This window comes from Homo sapiens, chromosome 13 (genome assembly GCF_000001405.40).
Source record: "Homo sapiens chromosome 13, GRCh38.p14 Primary Assembly".
Lineage (NCBI taxonomy): Eukaryota > Metazoa > Chordata > Mammalia > Primates > Hominidae > Homo > Homo sapiens.
The window spans coordinates 48,988,416-49,014,633 of NC_000013.11; the positions used below are offsets into that span (position 1 = coordinate 48,988,416).

The following is a 26,218-nucleotide window of genomic DNA, read 5'->3' on the forward strand; positions in this document are numbered from 1 at the left end:
AACAGGTAAAGCCAAAAATATTGTTACTGCAGATATGTATCATTATACATTAAAGGGTTAAACAACCTTCTCCAGAATCTAAATTGCATATGAGAATGATAAAAGCCATAATATAGTAATTTATAATTTAAAAGCTTGTAGTATGGCCAGGTGCTTGGCTCACACTTAATAGTCCCAGGACTTTGGGAGGCTGAGGTGGGAGGATTGCTTGATATAAGGAGTTTGAGACCAGCCTGAGCAACATAGCAAGACCTTGTTTTTACTAAATAATAAGTAAATAAGTAAGTAAGCCAGGCATGGTGGCACATGCCTGTAGTTCCAGCTACTTTGGAGGCTGAGGTGGGAGAATTGCTTAAGCCCAGGAGCCTGCAGTGGGCCATGATTGTGCCACTGCACTCCAGCCTGGGTGAGAGAGTGAGAACTTGTCTCAAAAAAAAAAAAAAAGATAAGAAAAAGCTTATAGTAATTTATAAGTTAAAGCTATCAGACATGAAAACCTTAAGTGTTCAGCAAAGTATGGATAAACATATACATTTAAGGAAACTACACAGGGCTGGAGAAAGAGCCAACTAAAAAGATTGTATATAGAACAGTATCCAAGCTCACACAGGGCCAGAAGAAGTGCCTGTTTCCACTAGCTAGAACAGAAAGCCTCATAATTCACAAGGCATTCAGTAGAGTACTCTGGAGGGTTTTGCATTAGTAGTGGGGAAAAATTAATTACATATTAAATGCAGCTCTGTTCTTGCCTAATCCATCGTAAAAGCAAGTCCCAAAGAGTCAAACTTTGTCCGAGTCCCTTAGCCACATGTTATAACAAATCTCCAGATTATTTATGGAAATACAAAAATATCCAACAGCCAACAAGATAAAGTTAACAGTATCTTACATGCAGTTCAAATTACTGAGTCTGCAAAGAAGCAGGAAAATACAAACCATATTGAGAAAAATTAATCACTTGAAATTGGCCTTCAAATGATACTGATGATGATAGTCATTAAAACAGTTATGACTGTTGGAGAAGCTAACAAAAAGATTGAACATGTTAAATAGAGATACTGTCTGATTAAAATTACGTGTCAAAGACATACTACATTAATGGCATGTTAGACTTTGTCAAAGAAAAGATAAGTGTACATGAAGATACAGCAATAGAAACTATCCAAAATGAAGCACAGAAGAAAATAGAATTTGGAGACAATAACTGAAAAAGTATTTGAAGAAATAATGGCTATTTTCCAAAATAGATATAAACTATAAACCAATAAGCACAATAAGCATAAGAAAGATGAATAAAACTCTGCTAAAACACATCATAATCAAATCACTTAAAGATAACTTTTTTTTTTTTTTTTGAGACAAAGTCTCGCTCTTTTGCCAGGCTAGAGTGCAGTGGCACAATCTTGGCTCACTGTAACCTTCGCCTCCCAGGTTCAAGCGATTCTCCTGCTTCAGCCTCCCGAGTAGCTGGGATTACAGGTGCATGCCACCATGCCCAGCTAATTTTTGTATTTTTAGTAGAGATGGAGTTTCACCATGTTGGCCAGGATGGTCTCCATCTCTTGACCTCGTGATCCGCCCACCTTCGCCTCCCAAAGTGCTGGGATTATAGGCGTGAACCACCGTGCCTGGCCCATAAAGGAAATCTTAAAAGCAGCCAAAGAAAAACAGAACAAAGATAAGGGTGACATCAGATCTGTCATTAGAAGCAATGTAAGCTAGAAGACAATGAAGCAATATCTTTAAAACATTTTTTTGCAAAAACTGTCAACCTGGGACTTTTTACCCAAACTGTCTTTCAAAATAAAGGCAAAATAAAGATTTCAAATATACAAAAGCTGAAATAATTTATCACTTTCATTTATGAACTAAAAGACATGTTAAATAGAGTCCTTCAAGCAGAAGGAAAATTAAACCACATGGAAACTTGGCCACAAGGAGTTTAGAGTACTGGAAGTGGTAACTATCTGGGCAAATATATAGGATTTAAAAAAAATTATTATTTGAATATCTTTAAAAGACAAATGACTGTTTAATATAAAAATGATGACAGTTGCCAGGTGTGGTGGCTCGTGCCTGTAATCCCAGCACTTTCGGAGGCCAAGGCAGGCAGATTGCTTCAGCCCAGGAGTTTGAGACCAGCCTGGGCAACATGGTGAAATCCTGTCTCTCCAAAAAAAAAAAAAAAAAAAAAAAATTAGCCAGGCATGGTGGTGCATGCTTGTAGTCACAGCCGCTCGGAAGGCTAAGTTGGGAGGATCGCTTGAACCCAGGAGGCGGAGATTGCAGTGAGCTGAGATCACACCACTGCATTCTAGCCTGGGCAATAGAGACCCTGCCCTCCCCTAAAAAATGACAACATGAGGTTTAAAACATGTAAAAGTAAAATATACAATAATAGCAAAAATCCCAGAGAAATTGCAGATTTATTGTTGTAAGGTTCTGATACATATTCCTGAAGTAGTGTATTACTTGAAGGTATACAGTAATAAGTAAAACATGTGTATTGTAAATTTTAAAGAAACCACTCAAGTAACAAAGAGTTGTAGCCTATAAATCAACAAGAGAGAGGGGATGGTATAATAGGAAATAATTCAAAATGAAGCAGATGAAGAGGGAAAAGGGGACAAAGAACATTTGAAACAAATAGCAAGATGGTGATGTAAATCCAGTCGTATCAACAATCACATTACATATAAATGGCCTAAACACCACAATTAAAAGTCAGGGATTGTTGGATACAATTTTTTAAAATTAAGACCCAAATATTTCACATCTACAAGAAATCCACTTTAAGTGAGTTAAAAGGATGGAAAAAGATATGCCATGCTTACACTATCCAAAAGAAAACTGAAATCAGTAAGTTAAACCAGAAGTTAGGTTACAGAACAAAGAATTCTTACCAGAGATAAAGAGGATTATTTCATACTAGTAAAGGGATTAATTAAGAGGGCATGCAATTATAAATATGCATCTAGTATAGGAACTGGCCTGGGGGCAGTGGCTCATGTTTGTAATCCCAGCTCTTTGGGAGGCTGAGGGGGTTGAATCAGTTGAGTCCAGGAGTTCGAGACCAGCCTGGGCAATGTGGTGAAACTACGTCTCTACAAAAAAATACAAAAATTAGCTGGGTGTGGTGGCACACGCCTGTAGACCCAGCTACTAGGAAGGCTGAGGTGGGAGGATTGCTTGAACCTGGGAGGTTGAGGCTGCAGTGAGCTATGCTCACACCACTGCACTCCAGCCTGAGTGACACAGCAAAACCCTGTCTCAAAAAAAAGAAAAAAGGAAAAAAAAAAGAGAGAGAATGTTTCTGAATATATGCTGGAACTGCAAAGAGAAATACAGATGCTCTTTAATTCATGATGAGGTTATGTCTCAATAAACCCACCTGGTTAAAATATGTCAGAAATGAGTTTAATTCACCTAACCTACTGAACATCGTAGCTTAGCCTAGCCTATCTTAAATGTGCTCACAACACTTACATTATCATATGGTTGATGAACAAAATCATCTAACACAAAGCCTATTTTATAATAAAGTGTTGAATGTCTCGTGTAATTTATCGAATACTGAAAAGTGGAAAACCGAATGCTTGTATGGATACTTGATGTATGGTTTCTACTAAATGTGTATCTCTTTTGCTCCATCATAAAGTCCAAAAATTGTAAGTTGAACCATCACAAGTTGGGGATTGTCTGTATACAAATAATGCAATTTTAGCAGAGATTTCAATACCCCTCTCAATGGAAAGTAGAAAGAATGTAAAGCCTAAAACTATGAAATTTCTTAAAACAGGAGAAAATCTCTGTGACCTTGCATTAGGTGATTTCTTAAGTATAGCATTGAAAGCACCATTCATAAAATGACAAATCGATAAATTGTACTTTATCATAATTTAAAACTTCAAAAGACATTGGTAAGAGAATATAAAAACAAGCCACAGACTGGGAGAAAAATATTTGTAAATCACTTATCTGGTAAAGGACTGCTATCTAGAATATATAAAGCACTATCAAAACTAAATAATAAGAAAACAGTCTAGTAACTAAATGGACAAAATAATCCAACAAATAGTCAACCAAAAATATACCTGGATGGCAGATAAGCACATGAAAACAACATCATTGTTCATGGAAATGCAAAGTCTCCAGTTTACAAATGGTTAGTAGGAAAATTTGAGAGATGACGGGTAAGTTCATTATCTTGATTATGGTAACAGTTTCACAGGTGTATTTATGTGTCAAAATTTATCAAATTGTACACTTTTAAACATGTGCAATTTGATATATGTCAGTTATACCTCAGTAAAGCTATTTCAAAAATCAAGAGTAGTTGACACATTGTATTAGGTTGGTGCGAAAGTAACTGGTTTTTGCCATTGCTTTCAATTAAAAGTACCATTTGTACCATTAAAAGTAATGGCAAAAACCACAATTACTTTTGCACCAACCAAGTAGTTATAACAACTACTTGATGCGTGTTTGTTTAATACATTTAACTCATTACTCTGCCATTTCCCAGGAGTATTTGAAAGTTTCAACTTTGTTTAATCTACAGGAAATAGCAACTTCAATCTAAGGATAGTATATCATACTCTCCTAGTATATTGATTTGACCATAATATCCAAAGGCAATTAAAAATTCTTCATTAAACTTGATTCCTCTACGAATACTTTCTTATCCTTAGATCAGTATTTTTATCTGTTTCTCGTTGAAGGATAATGTATTCACATCTGGGATGAGGCTTTCCAGAATGAGGTATACACCTTACATTGTTATCAACTTTACATCCTTATTATCAGTTAGTACTTAATGTAAAAACTTACTTAGTCTTAGAGTTGTATGGCCCAGAGACTAGCAGCATCAGCCTAACCTGGGAACTTATTAGAGATGTGATTTACTGGGCCCCACCACACACCTGTTGAGTCAGAAACTCTGTATGTGTGGCCCAGGAATCTGTTTTAATAATCCCTGCAGGTCATTCTGATACATACCAGGATTTGAAAGCTGTGATCTTAGAGCAACAATAGGACTTTAGATTCTTAGATACTTATAGTAGTTTCATTTTTAAAAATCTCATATGATAGCACACTTAAGATTTGTACATTTCTGGTAAAAGGAATTTGACAAAAAAATTTTTAATGAAGATGTGTACATTTTACCATACATGAACTTTTTTTTAAGGAACTAAAAATTTTGAATGCTAGTAACACATGCAAAAGTGTTTAGGGGTGAAGTATACTGATGTCTGCTGCTTTGAAGTGCATTTAAAAAAGATCGCTAGAGGAATACATGCAATTAAATCCTGTCAATTTTAGAACCTAGGTGGCAAGTATATGGGTGTTTGCTGTTCAGTTATTTCAGCTTTTCTGTGGGTTAAAAAAATCCTCATAATATAAAATCCTTCCATGACTCCTTTTTAAATTTTTGATCAAGAGAGTGAAATGTGCCCAGAATGTGCTCTTAGGCAAAATAATGGTAGATAGTAATGAAGTTTTAGTATCTTAACAGCAATTATGAATAAAGATATAGAAAACTGTGTTTCACTAGAATGATATTACATTTGTTAATCTTAGAAATTGACTATTTGAGATTTTTCTAATCAAATTAAAATGGAAAGTGTAATCTTGCTAATGTTCTTTAAATTACCTCTATTGATTGTCTCTTCATATATCCAGATGAAAAGATCATCAGCTATATATGATCTAGTTAAAGTCACTTTTAAGGACTGATATAAATTATTGATTTTTTCAAAAATAAAAAAGTAGACCAATGTGGTCTTCAGAAATAAAAAAAATTACTTGCTTTTAAAACATTATTAAAGGCTTGACAGTCAAATGGATGGTACTTAGATTAAAAGAGGTTTTTAAAGACATGGCAAATAGTAGTGTGCACATCTGATACAAATCCTGATTCAAACAAGTTTTAATAAAAACAAGACAATGCAAAATTTGAACACTGACTACATATTTGATGATTTAAGGAATTATTGAAGTGTATGTATGGTAATGGTTTTGTAATTATGTTTTAAAAAGGAGTTCCTGTCTTTCAGAGATACATACTGAAATATTTGCTGTGGTTGAGCGCAGTGGCTCACGCCTGTAATGCCTGCACTTTGGGAGGCCGACGCGGGCAGATCACAAGGTCAGGAGTTTGAGACCAAGCCTGGCCAACATGGTGAAACCCCATCTCTACTAAAAATGCAAAAATTAGCTGGGCGTGGTGGCGCATGCCTGTAATCCCAGCTACTCCGGAGGCTGAGGCAGGAGAATTGCTTGAACCTGGGAAGCGGGGGTTGCAGTGAGCCGAGATGTGCCACTGCTCTCCAGCCTGGGTGACAGAGCAAGACTCCATCTCAAAAAAAAAAAAAGAAATATTTGCAAATGAAGTTTTGGAATGTCTTAGATGTGTTTCATAATACTGCAAGACAGGAAGTGGGGTATAGATGAAACTAGACTGGTCATGAGTTGAAGCTGGGTAATGAGTACATGGGGTTCATTATACTATTATGTTTACATTGGTGTATGTTTGAAGTTTTCCACAATAAAAGGTTTTAAGAAAGATGTAGGTTAAATTTAACTCTTACATCATGATCTGAGAATGAAATCATCACTTATTGTGGTGTTTCAGTGAGAAAATATTTTCCAATTATATCTGACTTTAAAACAACTAATAATAATATTAATAAGGTCTCTATGTTGCCCAGGCTGGTCTCAAACTCCTGGACTCAGGTGGTCCTCCTGCTTCAGCTTCTTAAAGTGCTGAGATTACAGTCGTGAGCCACTGTAAGAGTGAAAGGCCTTTTTATTTATTTCTTTTTTAATATTTTCAGATATATCTGACTTCTAACAAAATACTGTAAGGGAGCCTATTTCTTGATTGAGGACTGCCTTTTTTTTTTTTCTTTTAGCATAACAATCTTAGTTGTAGCCTTTTTGTGTACCAAATCTTGTACTGTTTTATACTTCCAGTATCCAAAGATATGAAAAAAGTGAGCATGGGGAGAGAAAGAAAAGCAAGGAACTAGATTAAGCATAAATCTTTTGAATTATAAAAAGCTGTCTTTTTTTAAATTTAATATCAGTCATTGAAAATGATTAATAGCACTGTCTTCTTACCATCCTCCTCCCTTCTCACTTTCTCTACCAATATACATTTCTATTATAAATATAGAAGATAACAAGATTGCTTATTATGTCTTCATAAAATTTCACATTAACATATGGACATTTAAGGTGAACTGAAATAATGCATGTAATTATATTTTTAAGAGCCATTTTTCTGCAGTACAGTTGACATCAAAGAGGGTAATTCAAAGAATTAGTTTTGGCAAAAATATAAAATAAGCTAATATCCTGTTCTTATTGTTAAATACAGTCTATGAAATATTTGTTTTTGGTTTCTGATAAGAAATGATAGGATAGTTTTGCAGAGTGATTCCCATGAGTTTCATCTCAGGAAATTCCACCACAGGTGATTTCAAATACCTTATTTTTAGTCTAATATAGTCAAGTTTAGAAGATGAAAAATCCAAACGTTAAAAATGAAGTAGAAGTCTAAATTGGAAAAGTACATTTTAGGATATCAGTTCATGAGATAAATTAGTATTTTGGATAAAGTCCAAGTTGTGGCAGAACTTATTTAAATTCTCCTGAAAGGGTACTTAGATGGTTGAGAAGCCAAATATGTGTAGTTGCCTATGGCTCTTCAAGACTATTAACTTTTAAATCAAAATTTTGATGGTGGTATAAACCATATCCATATTATAAAAAAAAACTTGAGAAATAGAAACAGTTACATAATCTCACCATCTTGATACAGTTGCTACTGTAATTCTAATATTTTTACCTAACATTTTGTTCATGTGTATGTTTAAAAATACTCCTAAATTCTAGAGTTAAATGACTAAAACTCTTTGGAGTACAGTCAGCCTTCCATTTTTGGGGGTTTCACATCCATGGAGTCAATCAACCGTGGATCAAAAATATTTGGGAAAAAATGGATTGTTGCATCTGTACTAAATATGTACAGAGCTTTTCTTTTTCATTATTCCCTAAACAATACAGTGTCACTATTTACGTAGCATTTATATTGTATTAGGTATTATAAGTCATACAGAGATGATTTAAAGTATACAGGAGAATGTGCATAGGTTATATGCAAATACTACAACATTTATATAAGGAGCTTAAGGTTTTGTGGATTTTGGCATCTTTGGGGATCCTGGAATCAATCCCCTGTAGAAACCAAGGAACAACTGCATATGATAGTCTTGTGGTTTCAGATATGGCTCTGGAGACATACAGTTTTTAGTTTGAATTGGACACATCAAAAAACCACATCAAAACACATTGGATTTCGGCAGGGCATGGTGGCTCACACCTGTAATCCCAGCACTTTGGGAGGCCTTGGTGGGTGGATCATTTGAGGTCAGCAGTTCGAGACCAGCCTGACCAACATGGTGAAACCACATCTCTACTAAAAACACAAAAAATTAGCTGGGCATGGTGGCAAGCGCATGTAATCCCAGCTACTCGGGAGGGTGAGACAGGAAAATTGCTTGAACCCAGGAGGCAGAGGCTGCAGCGGGCGGAGATCGCACCATTGCACTCCAGCTTGGGTAACAAGAGCGAGACTCCGTCTCAAGAAAAAAAAAAAAAAAGACATTGGATATCTCAATCTAAATGTACATATTTTTCCTATCAGTACTTCAGTTATAGTATTGCTGTAATCCAAGATGTAATCCTGCTTTGCATTTTTCCACATGCTTTTTAGACAAAAAGAGCTGAAGTTTCAAACCCCAGACCAAGCTTATTCTCATGAGCTATCTACCTTAGTTTCTAGGTCTAAGCTGTTGTCATCATATAGATAACAAATCTGGGTGGAATTAACGGATATGAATAATAAGGTTAAGGAAGAAAACTAGCAGAATACATGTATAAGGAAACAAGAACAGATTCAGAATTGTGTCAGCGGCTGAGTGAGAAAGCACCTGATAGTGTTATGGACTGAATGTTTGTATACCCCTCAAAATTCATACATTGAGCCCTAACCACCAATGTGACAGTATGTGGAGCTGGGGCCTTTGGAGATAATTTGGCTTAGAGGAGAGCATGAGCATGGGGTCCCCATGATCAGATTAGTGTCCTTAGAAGAAGAAGAGACTTGAGCTTGCATGCTCTCTGCCTTGAGGACAAAAGGAGAAGGTAGCCATCTGAGAGCCAGAAAGAGGGTTCTTACCAAAAAGCCAACCATGCTAGCACCCTGATCTTGGACATCTTGGCCTCCGTAACTGTTAAAAATTATGTCTGTTGTTTAAAGCAACCAGACTATGTTATTTTGCTGTAGTAGCCTAAGTTCAGTAAGACGGTAATTGGTGCTAAGAAATGGGTGACTGCTATAACAAGTACCTAAAAATGTGGGAGTAGCTTTGGAACTGTGTAATGAGTAGAGGCTGGAAAAGTTTTGAGGTGTGTGCATTAAAAAAAAAAAAAATGCTGAGATTGCTGCAACCAGACTGCTAGGGGCAATTCCAGTGAGGGCTCACAGAGAAAAAAGGAGAGCTGGAGAGAAAGCCTCCATCTTCAAGGAGGACACATAAATAATCATGAACAGAATGTCATTTGAAAACATGGGTGATAGGCCATTCTGATGAGGTCTCAGATGGAAATGAGGAGCATGATTTGGACAATGGAGAAAAGGCAATCCTTGTAATAAAGTGGCAAAGAATTTGACTGAATTATGCTCATGTTCCAGTGTTTTCTAGAAGGCAGAACTTGTGAACTGTTAAATTGGGTGTTTAGGTAAAGAGATTTCTAAGCCAAGTGTTGAAGGAGCAGTTTGTTTTCTCTTCACTGCTTATTCAGGTTGAGCATCCCTAAATTAAAAATCCGAAATATAAAAAGCTCAAAAATCTGAAACTTTCTGAGCTTTGGCATGATGCTACAAGTGGAAAATTCCATCATGTGATGGGTTGCAGTTAAAACAGTCAAAACTTTGTCTCATGCACAAAATTATTTAAAATACTATGTAAAATTACCTTCTGGCTATGTAAGATGTATGTAAAACATAAATGAATTTCGTGTTTAGACTTGAGTTTCATCCCTAAGATATTTCATTATGAGTAAGCAAATATTCCAAAATCTGAAAAAAATGTGAAATCTTAAACACTTTTGGTCCCAAGCATTTTGGATAAGGGATACTCAACCTGTAGTAAAATGTAAGAAGAGAGAAATGAATTGAAGAAAGAGAAATGAATTGAAGCAAAAAGGCACCAGAACTTAAAGATCTGGAAAATTCTCAGCATGTCCATATTACAGAAATGAGAAAGAACATTTGGAAGAGAACATCAAAGGGGTGGCTGGCTGACCGTTTGCTAAGAAGATTAGCATGGGTGTAAACCATGGACCTAATAGCCATCTCAACCGAAGCCAGGAATAGAGACTGAATTATATTAGAAACACTGCCAGCTGAGATTAAAGGAAATAGAGAACATGGGATAGAATGAAGGAAGACTGTGAACATGCATGATCATTTCAGAAAAGGGAGAAGGACTCCAAAGGCAATTCAGAGGTCATCAGGGCTGCTACGCCCACTACAGATCCAAAGTGCATGGGCCCAAAGGGCAAGGCTGCTTCCACCTCAGCTTTAAAGGGCAGGACTGCCCCGCAGCAGAGCCTCATGGGAAGGTCCCTGTGAGAGTGCTGCATGGTCAGGGCTCCACCAAGCGGAAGGGACAGGTCACCTCACTGAGCCATGGGAGTGATGCTGCCATTTCAGTATCTGGAAGGCAGGACCATCACCCCAGTGGATATGGAAAGCAGAGCATTGAATCAAAGATGATGATTCTCAAGCCTTAAGATCTAACAGTATTTGCCTTGGTAGGTTTTGGACTTGCTTGGGACATGTCACCCCTTTCTTTAATCTGATTTCTACCTTTTGGAGTGGGAATGTCTGTCCTGTGCCTGTCCCACGATTGTCTTTTGCAAATACATAACATATCTGGTTTCACAAAAGCTGGAAAGGAATTTTGCCTCAGGATGAATTGTACCTCTACCTTCACCCATATCTGATTTAGATGATACTTAGATGAGACCTTGGACTTTAGAGTTGATATTTCTGTGAGTTAAGACTTTGGGGGCTGTTGGGATAGAATGAAAATGACATGAATTTTGGAAGGTCAGGGGCCGAATATTATAGACTGAATATTAGTGTCTCTCCGGAATTCATATATTGAACCCCTAACCCCCAAAATGATAGTATTAAGAGGTGGAGACTTTGGGAGATAGTTACTGAAAATAGTTAGACTTAGATGAGGTAATGAGGGTGGAGCTCCCATGATGTGATTAGTGTTCATATATAAGAAGAGTAAGAGACACAGAGCATCCTCTCTCCCTCATGTGAGGCAACAGCAAGAAGATAGCCATCTGAAAGCCAGGAAGAGAGGATCCTTACCAAGAACCAAATTTGCCAGCATCTGGATCTTAAACTTCCCAGCCTCCAGAAGTGTGACAAATAAATGTCTGTTGTTTCAGTTGCACACTTTTGTGGTTTTTTTTAAAATAGCAGACCAAGCTAAGACAATTTGTAAATGTTTTCTTCCATTCCATAGATTACCTCTTTACTCTGTTGATTGTGTTTTCTGATGCACAAAAGTTTCTAAGTTTGATTAAGTCCCATTTGTCTGTTTTTGCCTTTGTTATGTGTGTTTTTGCTGTCATATCCAAGAAATAATTGCCAAATCTAAAATCATGAAGCTTTTCCCCATGTTTTCTTCTAGAAGTTCTACAGTTTGGTTCTTACATTTGGATCTTTAATCCATTTTGAGTTAATTTTTGTATATAGTGTAAGATAATCCAAATTCATTATTTTGCATGTGGCTATCCAGTTTTTCATACATCATTTGTTGAAGAGACTGTCCTTTCCTCATTGAATGATCTTGGCACTCTCGTTGAAGATTATTTGGTCATATATGCTAAAGACTTATTTCTAGGCTCTCTATTCTATTTCACTAGTCTGTTGTCTTCCTTTATGCCAGTACCACACTGTTTTGATTCCTGTGGCTTTGTAATATGCTTTGAAATCAGGAAGTGTGAGTCCTTCAACTTTGTTTTCTTTCAAAATTGCTTTGACTATTTGGGATCCCCTGAGATACTAGAATTTTAGAATGGATTTTTCTTTTCCTGCAAAATAAGCTATTGGTATTTTGATAGGGATTGCATTGAATCTGCAGATTGCTTTGGATAGTATGGACATTTTAACAATATGAAATCTTTCACTTTGTGAACCTGGGGTGTTTCTGCATTTATTTGTGTTTTTAATTTCTTTCAGCAGTGTTTTGTAGTTTTCAGTGTATGGCTTTCACCTCCTTGATTAGGTTTATTCCTAAGTACTTTATTCTTTTGGTTGCTATTGTAAATGGAATTTTTTTATTTCTTTTTCAAATTTTCATTGTTATATATAGAAACAATGAATTTTTATGTATTGATTTTGTATTCTGCAACTTTGCTGAATTCACTTATTAGTTCTAACAGGTTTTGTGTGTTTGTGTGTGTGTGTGTGTGTGTAATCTTTAGGGTTTTCTACCTATAAGATTATATTGTCTGTGAACAGAGGTAATTTTATTTCTTCCTGTCCAGTTTAGATGCCTTTTGTTGAGGGAAGTCAGGGACCCCGAATGGAGGGATCAGCTGAAGCCATGGCAGAAGAACATAAATTGTGAAGATTTCATGGACATTTATTAGTTCCCCAAATTAATACTTTTATAATTTCTTACGCCTGTATTTACTGCGATCTCCAAACATAAATTGTGAAGATTTCATAGACACTTATCACTTCCCCAATCAATACCCTTGTGATTTCCTGTGCCTGTCTTTAATCTCTTAATCCCATCATCTTTGTAAGCTGAGGAGGATGTATGTCGCCTCAGGACCCTGTGATGATTGGGTTAACTGCACAAATTGTTTGTAGAGCATGTCTGTTTGAACAATATGAAATCTGGGCACCTTGATAAAACAGGATAACAGCAATGTTCAGGGAACAAGAGAGATAACCTTAAACTCTGACTGCCAGTGAGCTGGGCAGAACAGAGCCATATTTCTCTTCTTTCAAAAGCAAATGGGAGAAACATCACTGAATTCTTTTTCTCAGCAAGGAACATCCCTGAGAAAGAGAATGCATCCCTGAGGGTAGGCCTCTGAAATGGCTGCTTTGGGGGCGGCTGTCTTTTACGGTCAAAGCTGTGGGATGAAATAAGCCCCAGTCTCCCATAGAGCTCCCAGGCTTATTAGGATGAGGAAATTCTCACCTAATAAATTTTGGTCAGACCGGTTGTCTGCTTCAAACCCTGTCTCCTGATAAGATGTTATCAATGACAGTGCGTGCCCGAAACTTCATTAGCAATTTTAATTTCGCCCCAGTCCTGTGGTCCTGTGATCTTGCCCTGCCTCCATTTGCCTTGTGATATCTTATTACCTTGTGAAGCGTGTGATCTCTGTGACCCACACCCTATTTGTACGCTCCCTCCCCTTTTGAAAATCACTAACAAAAACTTGGCTGGTTTTGCGGCTTGGGGGCATCACAGAACCTGCGGACATGTCTCCCCCAGACACCCAGCTTTAAAATTTCTCTCTTTTGTACTCTGTCCTTTTATTTCTCAGACCGGCTGACACTTAAGGAAAATAGAAAAGAACCTACGTGACTATCAGGGGCAGGTTCCCCCAGTATCTTTTATTTCTTTTTCTTGCTCAGTTGCCCTGGGTAGAACTTCCAGCACTGTGTTGAATAGAAATAGCAAAAGTGAGCATCCTTGCCCTTTCCTGATCTTAAAGGAAAAGCTTTCAGTCTTCCACCATTGAGTGTGATCTTTCCTGTAGGTTTTTCATATATAGCCTTTATTATGTTGAGGTATATTTCTTCTAGTATTAGTTTATTGAGTTTATTTTTATTATGAAAGGGTGTTAAATTTGTCAAATGCTTTTTCTACAGCAATTGAGAATGATCATGTGGTACCTTTAACTTTTAAAAATAATTTTTGAAGGATAATATACATAAAGAAGTGCATATATAATCAGTATACAGCTTAGTAAATAACTTAATGGTAATCATCACATAATAGCCCCCCAGGTCAAGACATAGAACAGTACCCTAACCCCAGGAACTGCCTTCATGCTTTGCCCATGTTTCCATCCTTTCTTCCTTGTCAAAGGGAACCACTGTCCTGACTCTTAACACCATAAATTGGTTTTATCTGTTTTTGAACCTCCTGCAAATAAAATTATGTAGCCTGTATTCTTTTGTGTGTTTTTCATGCATGTTGTGTTTGTAAGATTTATCCATGTTGTTTTCTGTATCACTAGTTCATTAATTTTCATTGCTGCATATAGTCCATTGAATGAAACAGCCACAGTTTATTTACAAAGGACATTTAGGGCCATTAACAAGTAATGGCTTCTATGAGCCGTCTTGTATCTACCAGGAATCTAATAGCTGGATCATAACTGGGTCCTAGAGGATGCATATATTCAACCTTGGTAGATAATGTCAAACTTTTCCTAAGTGATTTACGAATTTTCATTTCTGTTCCATATGAGTTTGCCTCCATAACTTCATTACCACTTGATATTGTCAGTCTTTTTCATTTCATTTTCCACTTTTTTTATTTTCGAGACAGAGTCTCGCTCTGTCACCCAGGCTGGAGTTCAGTGGCATGATCTCAGCTCACTGCAACCTCCACCTCCCAGGTTCAAGTGATTCTCCTGCCTCAGCCTCCCAAGTAGCTGGAATTACAGGCACCTGCCACCACACTCAGTTAATTTTTGTATGTTTAGTAGAGACAAGGTTTCACATGTTGGCCGTGCTGGTCTTGATCTCCTGACCTCAAGTGATGTGCCTACCTCAGCCTCCCAAAGTCCTAGAATTACAGGCATGAACCACTGCACCCGGCCACATTTCTACTTTTGTGGAGAGTATATTCAAGTCTCTTGTTATTTTTCTATCTTTTTTTAAAAATCAATTTGTAGGAGGCCAGTATATATTCAAAATATATGCTCTTTGTTAGTTGTATATGTTGTAAATACCTTTTCATTTTCTTAAAGCTTTTTAAAAGAAATTACAATTCTTAATTCTAGTGAAATCCAGTATATTTTTTTGTTTATGTTTTAAGAAATATATTTTATATCCTGTTTAAGAAATCTTTCTCTGTCCCAAGGTTATGAAGATATTCTTCTGCATTATCTTTTAGAACCTTTTCTTTGGTTTAACCTTGTATATTCAGATCTGCAACCTCTCTGACATTTAAAACAACATTGTTTAATTTGACACTAATTAAAATATTAGACCTACCAAAAAAAAAGTTGCAAGAATAGTACAAAGATGTCCAGGTTTTTTTCACCCAGAGTCTGCAACTGTTTATTTAATGTATTTTACAAGCTTCTACATAGAGCACTGATCCAAACATTAATATTTCACATTATTGCTACATAAATAAATGTTGATATATCAACAGTGATATGCTGGAGCTGTCTTAACTTGTGTACAAAAGTTGGTTGTTAAAATTCAGGAATTTGCAGGTCAATTTTAAATCATTGGTAGTTTGAAGTGGGCTGTGGCAGGGAAGAATTTACTCCATGGATGTTAATACATGCTGTAAGTTATTTCTATTCTTTTTAAAAATACATCAAATGTTACATTATAAAAATTAAAAATAAGTGTATAACTAAAACTAAGAGGGTATTTGAGGTCAGAAGATAAGACTAGAATGTAGAAAGTGAGTAGTAACAAAACTAGAAGTAATTTATTGAAGGAAGAAGCTGACAGTATTCTCTACACAAGGAAAGAAAGGAATGTCTGGTTTCTAAATGCCAGCATTTGAGTTGCAGGGTAAAAGTTTTGAATCTGCAAGCTTAAATAAAACCAATTACTTTGCGTGTGATAGATATGGCCATACAATAAACCAATTTATAAATGAAACTTTAGTGTGTTCTAGTTTTAAAAATACTAAAATTAAAGATAATACCTTAGGCAAATTGACCAATGGGTTGAAAATTTTAAAAAGGTAATACCTTAAGTGGAATGGTAATATTGAAATATAGCATGTGGCTCTATACCCAGTCTCTAATAGCACTAGTATTGGAATGAACTTGAAGATTCAGAAGAAAATCTGTATTTCTATTTGTAAAATTACCAGTTCATCTCCTGAAACCAAACTGTGGTTGTATTTTCATTGTTACATTCTAAAATTTAAATAATAATGGCGGCCTGCAGTTTTAGCTAAACCTAGTACATAGAATATTGCAAATAGAATAAAATGACAAAATTTAAATGGCTCAGTGGTTTTTATTTTTTTTAATTTATTAAGAAAATTGAGTTACCTACAAAATCTTGTTAATCCCAAATTAGCTTCCTGGAAATGTTTCTTACACTAACTCTTGTGATATGCAAGTGGGAGAAATAATACATTTATTCTTTCTCATAATTCTTTGTATATTCCACAGAGCAACATTATTTGACAATATTTAAAGTACTTAGTGGTTTTATTGGACTTTAGTATAGCAATACAGGTTATGCCAGAAGTTAGATTTGCATTATTTTATATATAAACATTATGTTTAAAGAATATGCATTTTCATGAGATAATTAAATAATATAAAATGGCTCATTTTACATTATTGTGGTATTAACTATGAAATCTTCAAGTAGATACCAATACTGAATAATTTTTAAAACATCATAGTAGTTGTTATATAGCTACATGAAAAATTATTTTCAATCTAAATCAACTTGTGAGATTCAGCAGTCAAGATTTTAAATAAATAACATGAATTTAATCTCTTATAAAAGTTAACCCTCTTGACACTACTGAATTGCAGAATGCTGTAAACATTCCAAAATGTTTATTTTATTTTTCAATATAGATTCAGTGTATTTATGATTATACTCAATTTGCTTATCTTGAAATGTAATTTGCTGATGTTTTATTGGTTAACATTGTATATGATAGACTAATATTGCTTACATCATCTTTTACTTTTCTTTTTGTATGTGATATTGTGTGTACAGTTAAAGATTTGTAAATATATGTTTTTTTGTTGAAATTATTGATTTATTGTAAATAGGTATCACTTAGAAAAGAGTAATACAATCAAAATAAGTAAGTAATATAAGAGCTTGAAACTTCAAACTTGAAGGTTCTTACCCTAATCCTGAGCAAATTTTTTTACCATTGTGTTTTGTCTGAGGAATCAGTGAAAAATCATAATTTTTCTTGTGTAGTTCCTAGAGACAGATAGGGTGATGAGGGGGATTGAGTCTTCATAATTACCTTGTCTGCCCATAGAAAAAAATTAGTGACAGTTGCCTCACTCAATCACTGTATCTTAGTGCCTATCCCAGTGTTTAGATTAAGTAGTGGTGGTTAAATTAAATAAAATATTATATAGAGATGAAAGGGGTGGAGAGACAGACATAGAATTTAAATAGAGCCTGCTGATATTCGCTTTAATATATCATATAAACTTACTGACTACTTTGACAAACAAAGTAATTTGAATTGTAAGAAATGTATTTCCTTAAATGGCTTATTGATTGGAAAAAAAAGCAGTCAACAGAGTATTCTAGAATTTCCTTTGACAAGAATATCTCTTTAGGTTAAAGAATGAAACATCTTGAATGTACAATGTTTTACTGTATTTTAAGGATATACTTACAAATGACTATATATGTTTGTTTTTCAGAATTGGAGCGTTATTCAGTATATTAATGTCTTATTGATAATGGCAGAACATCCACCACTACTGGATACAACTCAGATCTTAAGTAGTGATATTTCTCTTTTGTCTGCCCCTATTGTAAGTGCAGATGGAACACAACAGGTAAGAAAACTGAAATGTTTATTTCTTTATGTCTAATACACATGTATTTATGCAAAATTTAAAACAGATCACAATAGTGAGTTCCTGTTAATTCGTGTTTTAAATTCCCAATTCAAAATGTTGTTCAGTTTTATAAGATGATAAAAATAATGAGACTGTTTTTGAAGTCTCTTTTAAAATATCTTGCTAATTAATGGTCAAATTTCTTATGTGTATATTTAGTTGCCATTCAAGTTGTTTTTGTTTTCCTTTAGACAAATAGTGTGCTAGTCCCTGAGTTTAGCCTTGTACCTTAATGATTATTATAAATCATTTCAAATCATTATGAAATTATGATTTTTGCCTACATTATATAATAATGAAACGTTGTCTTTTCCCTCCCATTCTCTTCTCCCTTCCAAAAGTAAATACACAATCCCTGAAAAGCTGATAGATTTTTTTCCCCAGCCCAGGTCTTTATTTAAAATGTTGTGGTTGCACTGATTTCACTATTCCCACAGTAATCCTAAAAAGGGATAGGAATAATAAGCTTTCACAAGTACTTATTATGGGCCAGGCAATGTGCTTCATTCTCATAACTATCTTATATGGTAGGTATTTTAACAGTAGGTGAGGAAACAAACACTAAAAACATAATAAATGTTAATGAGGAAGGGAAGGAACAGTTTAGGTGCCCATTATGTAATAAACATTGTGCTAAGAGCTTTATGATCTCATTTAATTCTTTCAACAATTCTATGAGGTAGGTACACCTGCCCTTATTTTGCAGATGAAGCAAAATGAGTTTCAGAAAGTCTTAAATAACTTGCTCAGCATCACACAAAGCTTGTGCTCCTAACTGTTACTCATACTGCCTCCTTGGAAAACTTAAAAACAAGAAAGTCAGATTTTCTTACTTTATAAACTTAGTATCTATAGTAGGCAATTATGATTTGCTGACAAGATAAAGGGCTACTATTGAAAAATTAGTAGCAATTGGCTTGGGTTCTAAATTTTTCTGTTCTGTGTAAACATGGCAGAAAGTGTTGTGTCCTGGTTTTAATTTTTTACGTGCTCTTATCCCAGCAATTTCATTCCACAAACTTGCTTTTCATGGTCAAATTTAAGTCTGTTAAGATTTTCTACTCACAAAAATAGTAGATGTGGCAGGTATTCATTTACTTTTTGAGGTTGTCCAAGTGTCTTCAGTTATCATTTGTTGCCTCAGGCCAGTCACTAGTTTCAACTTGTTGATAATCTAATGTATAAAAGAATCTATTAAGCAGTTAATTACAGTACATTGATAGAGTTGCATATTCTGTTAAGGGGAAGACAGCAGGCTGAAATAACTCCATGATGCCATCTCAAGACTTTTCTCTCCTTCCCCCAGAAGGAAATTGCAGAATTTTCTTGAAATCTTGAAGGCACCATGGCTATCATGTAACAGTAATGGTGTAGATGGCTATAGAGAAAGGATCTGGGAATAGAAGAACCTACTAGCAAGATTTAAAGGAGCAGGTGGAGTTAGGAGGTCTAGGGACAGGTTTTTAGGTAGAGTTTAAAAACAAACAGATTTCAGGAAGTGTAGAGTAAAGCCTTGAATTCTAACTAGCAGGTTGCGTGTAGTTCGGTAGGGAGAGAGCTAAACACGAGTGGAAGAAAACACTGGACTGGCCTGATAGATCTGGATTTGATTTTGGTTGCCGAAGACAAGTTATTTAACTTCTATGAGTATGTTTGCTTCTCTAGAAAATGGAGGTAATAATATCTTAAAGTAGTTATAGCTATGTGGGTGAAATGAGCCTGAAGGAACTCAGTAAATGTTTGCCGAATCCTAAGTAAAGCACTCAATAAATATTTAAAAGACTGAAGAAACTTTAGATATCCCAGTCAGGATTTCAATAAATAGAGATAGTTATAATAAGCAGTGGATCAGAAAACGTGGAGATAGTTATGAAGGATGCATATGAAGTGTAAAGAGTGAACCAATAGCTATGATAGAATGTAAGGGACTATATACAAAGCAGATAATAATTAGAGGTGGGAGCGCAATAAACTTGACAGCAGACATTTCTTTGTCTTAACACAAGAACTTATTGATACGCCAAGTTATAGCTTACCTATGGAGATATGACACAACTTGGTTGATGCCTGTTTAACCACAGACTAAAAAACTGTTCCTGACAGATGGAAGTGTGCACAAGCATGATGTTAAAAATTCAAGACGACATATTTTGTCCCTTGTCTTGACTTTTCTTCAGAATATTATGCTATATGAAATGATTTCTCTTCTACTCTTGGGATCAAATTAATTTTCTTATAGTTGGCTATTAAGATTATCTGTCTCCTCATTAATATTTTCTGGTTTAGTACAGTAAACATTTCCTACTGTATCATATTACACGCAGTGGGTCTTTGGCTTGTGAATCATAATAGAGGGAATTGCTCCTGATATCACTGCTAGTGTTGCCTTTAGGGAGGCTGTAATAGTCATTTATTATTCATTTTGACAAGCAGCTTATGAACCTTTTTTTGTGGTTATGGAATCTGCCTCCCTTTTTCATTATTAAAATAGATTTTATTTTTAGAGCAGTTTTAGGCTTATAAGAAAAATTGAGCAGACAGTACAAAGTTCTCACATACCACCTCTTCTCCACAGTTTCTTCATTTATTAGTGTGATATATTTGTTACAATTAATGAACCAGTATTGATGCGTTATTATTAAGTAAGGTCCATAGGGTTCACTCTTAGTGTTGTACAACAGTTCTTCAGGTCTTAACAGATGGGTAATGTCATATATCATTACAGTATCATACAGAATAATTTCACCGCCCTAAAAATCCCGTGCTTCACCTTTTCATTCTTCCTTTACTCCCCCCAAATCCTTGGCAACCACTGATCTTTTTACTATCTCTCTACTATAGTTTTGTATTTTTAAGAATGCAATACAGTATGTAGCCCTTTCAGACTGGCTTCTCCCACTTAGCAGTATGGTGTAGGTAATTTCTTTCCACGGCTTAATAGCTCATTTCTTTTTCATTATTGAATAATACTTCATTGTATAGATGGACCAGTTTGTTTATTCATTCATCTGTTGAAGGACATCTTGGTCACTTCCAGCTTTAGGCTGTTATAAATAAAGCTGCTTTAAACATTCATGTGCAGATTTTTGAGTGTACATAAGTTTTAATTCACGTGGATAAATACCTAGGAACATGATTGCTAGATTGTGCGGTAGGGCTGTGTTTAGTTTTGTGAGAAACTACCAAACTGTCTTCTAAGGTGGCTGTACCATTGTACATTCTTTGTCACATGATTGACTTGAGATATCTTTTCCTGATAGCAGAAGGAAAGCCTGCATGAATGTGTGTGCCCTGTTAGAACCTCCAAACCAGTTTTATAGAACATAAGCTTCAAGCAAAAGTGGAATGCTCAGTTCTGTTCTCTAGTGCCACCATCTAAAGAAGATTTCAGATGTTTTAGTTTCTTGTGTGGTTTAGCAGTTTACTAATTTGTCTTCTCTTAATTTCTACTTACTTACCTTCCAAAAGGATTGAATACATTTAAAGTTTCAGTTAAGACCTTTAAAAACTTAGCCTGCCTATTATACAGTCTTTATTAGTACCTTCTTGATTGCATTAATCTCTTAAAATTATAATTTTTATAACTTCCCGTCTCATTTGTACCCATGGGATTTTAATTTACGGAAGTAACTTAAGAGATGGCACAAAGAGGCTAATGCCATTGAAAGAAGATTTTTATTACTTAAATTTCCCAAAGAAGGGGACGTATCATGTCATACAGGTAGGGCCAAAGGAGAAGCAGCATGTTCTGGTCAGGAGGCAGAAGAAGGCATGAGGAGAAAGCCTGGACCAAACCTTTTGTTGGGGTTTTCACAGGAAAGGCAAGGTGAAATAAATAGTGTTGGATTGGCTAGTTTTAATAATTCTGACCATCTTTGGGCTGTAAGGGTGATCCCTGGTAGCCTGGTACCTGGCCTGGGATGGCTTAGGGTAGGGTAAATATTGGCTTGGTGTGTAAAAGTTAGATAAGGTGGTTGGCACTATAGACTTGGGATTGGATGGTTTGCATATAAGAAGTATGCCTCTGGCCAAGCCTTTTGTTATCTGTAAGAATTGGCTATCCCTACAAGGGGCCATCTCTCCCCAGCAAGTGAGGCCACAGGTGCCAGAACATCAGGAATACAGAAAATAAGAAAATAGGGTTAATATAATTGGCCCTGTGATGAATGGATGCCAACGGACAAATAAAGAATCTAAGAAAACACAGAATGTGCCCTCAGCTTTTTAAAACCTGTTTTAAATCATGAAGTATAACATATATTTATAGAAAAGTACGTAAAATAAGCATGAAATATAGCATATGATTATAAGGCATAAATCTTGTAACTACAAGCCACACTAAGAGATATAATACTGCCAATACCCTAGAAATTGCTTGTATGTTTCTTCCACATCATAACACCCTCTCTCCTTCAAGGTTACCACTATCCTGACTTTTATGATAATTGCTTACTGACTTTTCTCTGTAGTTTTATCTATATATACTTCACTATACAACAATACTGTAGTTTTGCCAATTCTTGATATTTACATAAATTAAACTTGGTTTAACTATTCTTTTGTGACTTGCTGGTCTTATTCAATATTGTTTTAAAGATTCCTCCTTACTGTTGTTGAAATTTGTTCTTTTTAGTTTTCAGTATCAGATTCTATTATGTGTGAATATAACTCAATGTATTCATTTATCTGTTCTCTTCTTGATGACCATCTTGGGGGTTTCTAGTTTGGGATTATTATGAAGAATGCTTTTTTTCTTTGATTTATCAAACTGTTAATCAAACTGTTAATATATATTCTGGCCAAAAGTTCTTAGTCAGTCATAAGTGTAGTGAATATTCTCTCCTGTTCCCCTGTTCTGGTTGTCTTTTCACTCTCTTTGATGTCTTTCTTTTTTTTTTTGAGACAGGGTCTCGCTCTGTCACCCAGGCTGGAGTGCAGTGGCGTGATCTCGGCTCACTGCAACCTCCGCCTCCCAGGTTCAAGTGATTCTCCTGCCTCAGCCTCCCAAGTGGCGGAGATCACAGGCGTGCACCACCACACCAGGCTAATTTTTGTATTTTTAGTAGAGATGGGGTTTTGCCATGTTGGCCAAGCTGATCTCGAACTCCTGACCTCAAGTGATCCACCCACCTCGGTCCCCCAAAGTGCTGGGATTACATGCGTGAGCCACCGGCGGCTGGCATCTTTGGTATCTTTTGATGGACAGTCTTTAATTTTAATATGGTCAGATTTACCAGTTCTTTTCTTCTAGAGTTAGTGTTGTGTTTCTTCTCTCTCTACAAAAAAATTTAAAATTTAGCTGAGTGTGGTAGTATATGCCTATAGTCCCAGCTACTCAGGAGGCTGAGGTGGGAGAATCACTTAAGCCCAGGAGGTCAAGGCTACAGCAAGTCATGATTATGCCACTGTACTCTGGCCAGGGCAACAGAGCAAGACCGTGTCTCAAAAAAAATGTTTAAGGTATTTATGAACAGGAATTCCCTATACTGAGGCAATGAAAATATTTCTAAAAATATATTCTAAAAACTATACTTTCGCGTTGAACATTTTATTCCAAAATCTACTGGAGTTGATTTTTGTGAACTGTATCAAGCATAGGTCCAATTTGACTGTTTTTCCATGTATGTATAACTTAATTATTTCAGCACTGTTTATTGAAAAAACTGTTGTTTTCCTGTTGCTCCACAATGATACTTTTGTCATGTATCTATGATACATTGTTACAGATATGATCAAATATCTGTCACATATTTGTAGGGTTATTTATGGATTTTTTTTTTTGAGACGGAGTCTTGCTCTGTCACGCAGGTTGGAGTGCAGTGGCGCGATCTCGGCTTGCTGCAAGCTCCGCCATGGGTTCATGCCATTCTCCTGCCTCAGCCTCTCAAGTAGCTGGGACTACAGGCGCCTGCCACCATGCCCGGCTAATTTTTTGTATTTTTAGTAGAGATGGGGTTTCACTGTGTTAGCCAGGATGGTCTTGATCTCCTGACCTCGTGATCTGCCCGCCTCCACCTCCCAAAGTGTATTTATGGATTTTTAATTCTCTTTCATTGATCTGTTTTATTATCCCTGTGCCAAGAATACACCAAGTCTTGGTATCTGGTAAGCAAACCATCCCACCTTATTCTTTGAGAAGGTCTTGGTATTCTTGGGCCTTTACATTTACATATAAATTTTAGAATTAGCTTATCAATACACACACACACATGCACACACACACAACACCTGCTGAGTTTGATTTAGATTGCCTTGAATCTATAGATTGATTGAGGGAAGAATTGGTGGCATCTTTACAATATTGAATTTTTCAATTGTTGAAGTTGGTGTATTCATGCATTTATGTAGGTTTTTAATGTCACAGTGAAGTTTTATAATTTTTCCCATAAAGGTCTTGATTATCTTTTGTTAAATTTATTCCTGGGCACTTGGGTTTTTATATGCAATTATAAATGTGTGTGTGTGTGTGTGTGTGTGTGTGTGTGTGTATCATTTTCTGTTCCTGGTGAGTTAGAAATACAGTTTATTTTTGTATATTGCTTCAATATCCAGCAACCTTGCTATACTCTTACTCATTTTGAGACTTGTTCTTAGTCTCAAAGAGAGTATTTTCAGCATATTATTAAGCATGATGTTTATTATACATTTTTATGTATATTCTTTCTAAGATCTAAAAGGGTAAGCCAGGTGCAGTGGCTGACGCCAGTAATCCCAGCATTTTGGGAGGCTGAGGCAGGCAGATTGCTTGAACACAGGAGTTGGAGACCAGCCTGTGCAACATATAGTAAGACTTCATATATACTAAAAATAAAATTAGCCAGGTGTGGTGGCACACACCTGTAGTACCAGCTACTCAGGAGGCTGAGATGGGAGGATCACTTGAGCCTGGGGGGTTGAGTCTGCAATAAGCTGTGATTATGCAACTGTGTTCCAGTCTGGGCAACAGAGTGAGACCCAGTCTCATATTTTCAACATTTCTAAGATAATGATATATTTTTCCTTCAAATTTTGATGTCATAATTTACATTAATTTTATTATTATACTTTAAGTTTTAGGGTACATGTGCACAATGTGCAGGTTAGTTACATATGTATACATGTACATGTGTATACATATGTACACGTGTATACATGTATATACATGTACATGCGTATACATATGTACACGTGTATACATGTATATACGTGTACATGTGTATACATATGTACACGTGTATACATGTACATGTGTATGCAAGTATAGATGTACACGTGTATACATGTGTACACGTGTATACATGTATACATGTACATGTGTATACATGTATACATGTACATATGTGCCATGCTGGTGCGCTGCACCCACTAACTCGTCATCTATCATTAGGTATATCTCCCAATGCTATCCCTCCCCCCTCCCCCCACCCCACAACAGTCCCCAGAGTGTGATGTTCCCCTTCCTGTGTCCATGTGTTCTCTTTGTTCAATTCCCACCTATGAGTGAGAATATGTGGTGTTTGGTTTTTTGTTCTTGCAGTAGTTTACTGAGAATGATGATTTCCAATTTCATCCATGTCCCCACAAAGGACATGAACTCATCATTTTTTATAGCTGCATAGTATTCCATGGTGTATATGTGCCACATTTTCTTAATCCAGTCTATCATTGTTGGACATTTGGGTTGGTTCCAAGTCTTTGCTATTGTGAATAATGCCGCAGTAAACATACGTGTGCATGTGTCTTTATAGCAGCATGATTTATAGTCCTTTGGGTATATACCCAGTAATGGGATGGCTGGGTCAAATGGTATTTCTACTTCTAGATCCCTGAGGAATCGCCACACTGACTTCCACAATGGTTGAACTAGTTTACAGTCCCACCAACAGTGTAAAAGTGTTCCTATTTCTCCACATCCTCTCCAGCACCTGTTGTTTCCTGACTTTTTAATGATTGCCATTCTAACTGGTGTGAGATGGTATCTCATTGTGGTTTTGATTTGCATTTCTCTGATGGCCAGTGATGGTGAGCATTTTTTCATGTGTTTTTTGGCTGCATAAATGTCTTCTTTTGAGAAGTGTCTGTTCATGTCCTTCACCCACTTTTTGATGGGGTTGTTTGTTTTTTTCTTGTAAATTTGTTTGAGTTCATTGTAGATTCTGGATATTAGCCCTTTGTCAGATGAGTAGGTTGTGAAAATTTTCTCCCATTTTGTAGGTTGCCTGTTCACTCTGATGGTAGTTTCTTTTGCTGTGCAGAAGCTCTTTAGTTTCATTAGATCCCATTTCTCAATTTTGGCTTTTGT

At 36.0% G+C, this 26,218-nt stretch overlaps 1 protein-coding gene across 5 annotated transcripts in view; it reads left to right on the forward strand.

Moving 5' to 3' along the window:
* The window catches only part of FNDC3A (fibronectin type III domain containing 3A), a 234,489-nt gene that overhangs the window by 13,125 nt on the left and 195,146 nt on the right, over nt 1-26,218 (forward strand). For all 5 annotated transcript variants that reach the window (NR_103528.2, XM_017020440.3, NM_001079673.2 and 2 more), the window contains exon 2: nt 17,737-17,874. Coding sequence is in view for 4 of the 5 variants with exons in the window: in XM_017020440.3 (XP_016875929.1) it covers nt 17,776-17,874 (99 nt within the window). In the remaining variant the exon portion in view is untranslated. The remainder of the gene's footprint in view (nt 1-17,736; nt 17,875-26,218) is intronic.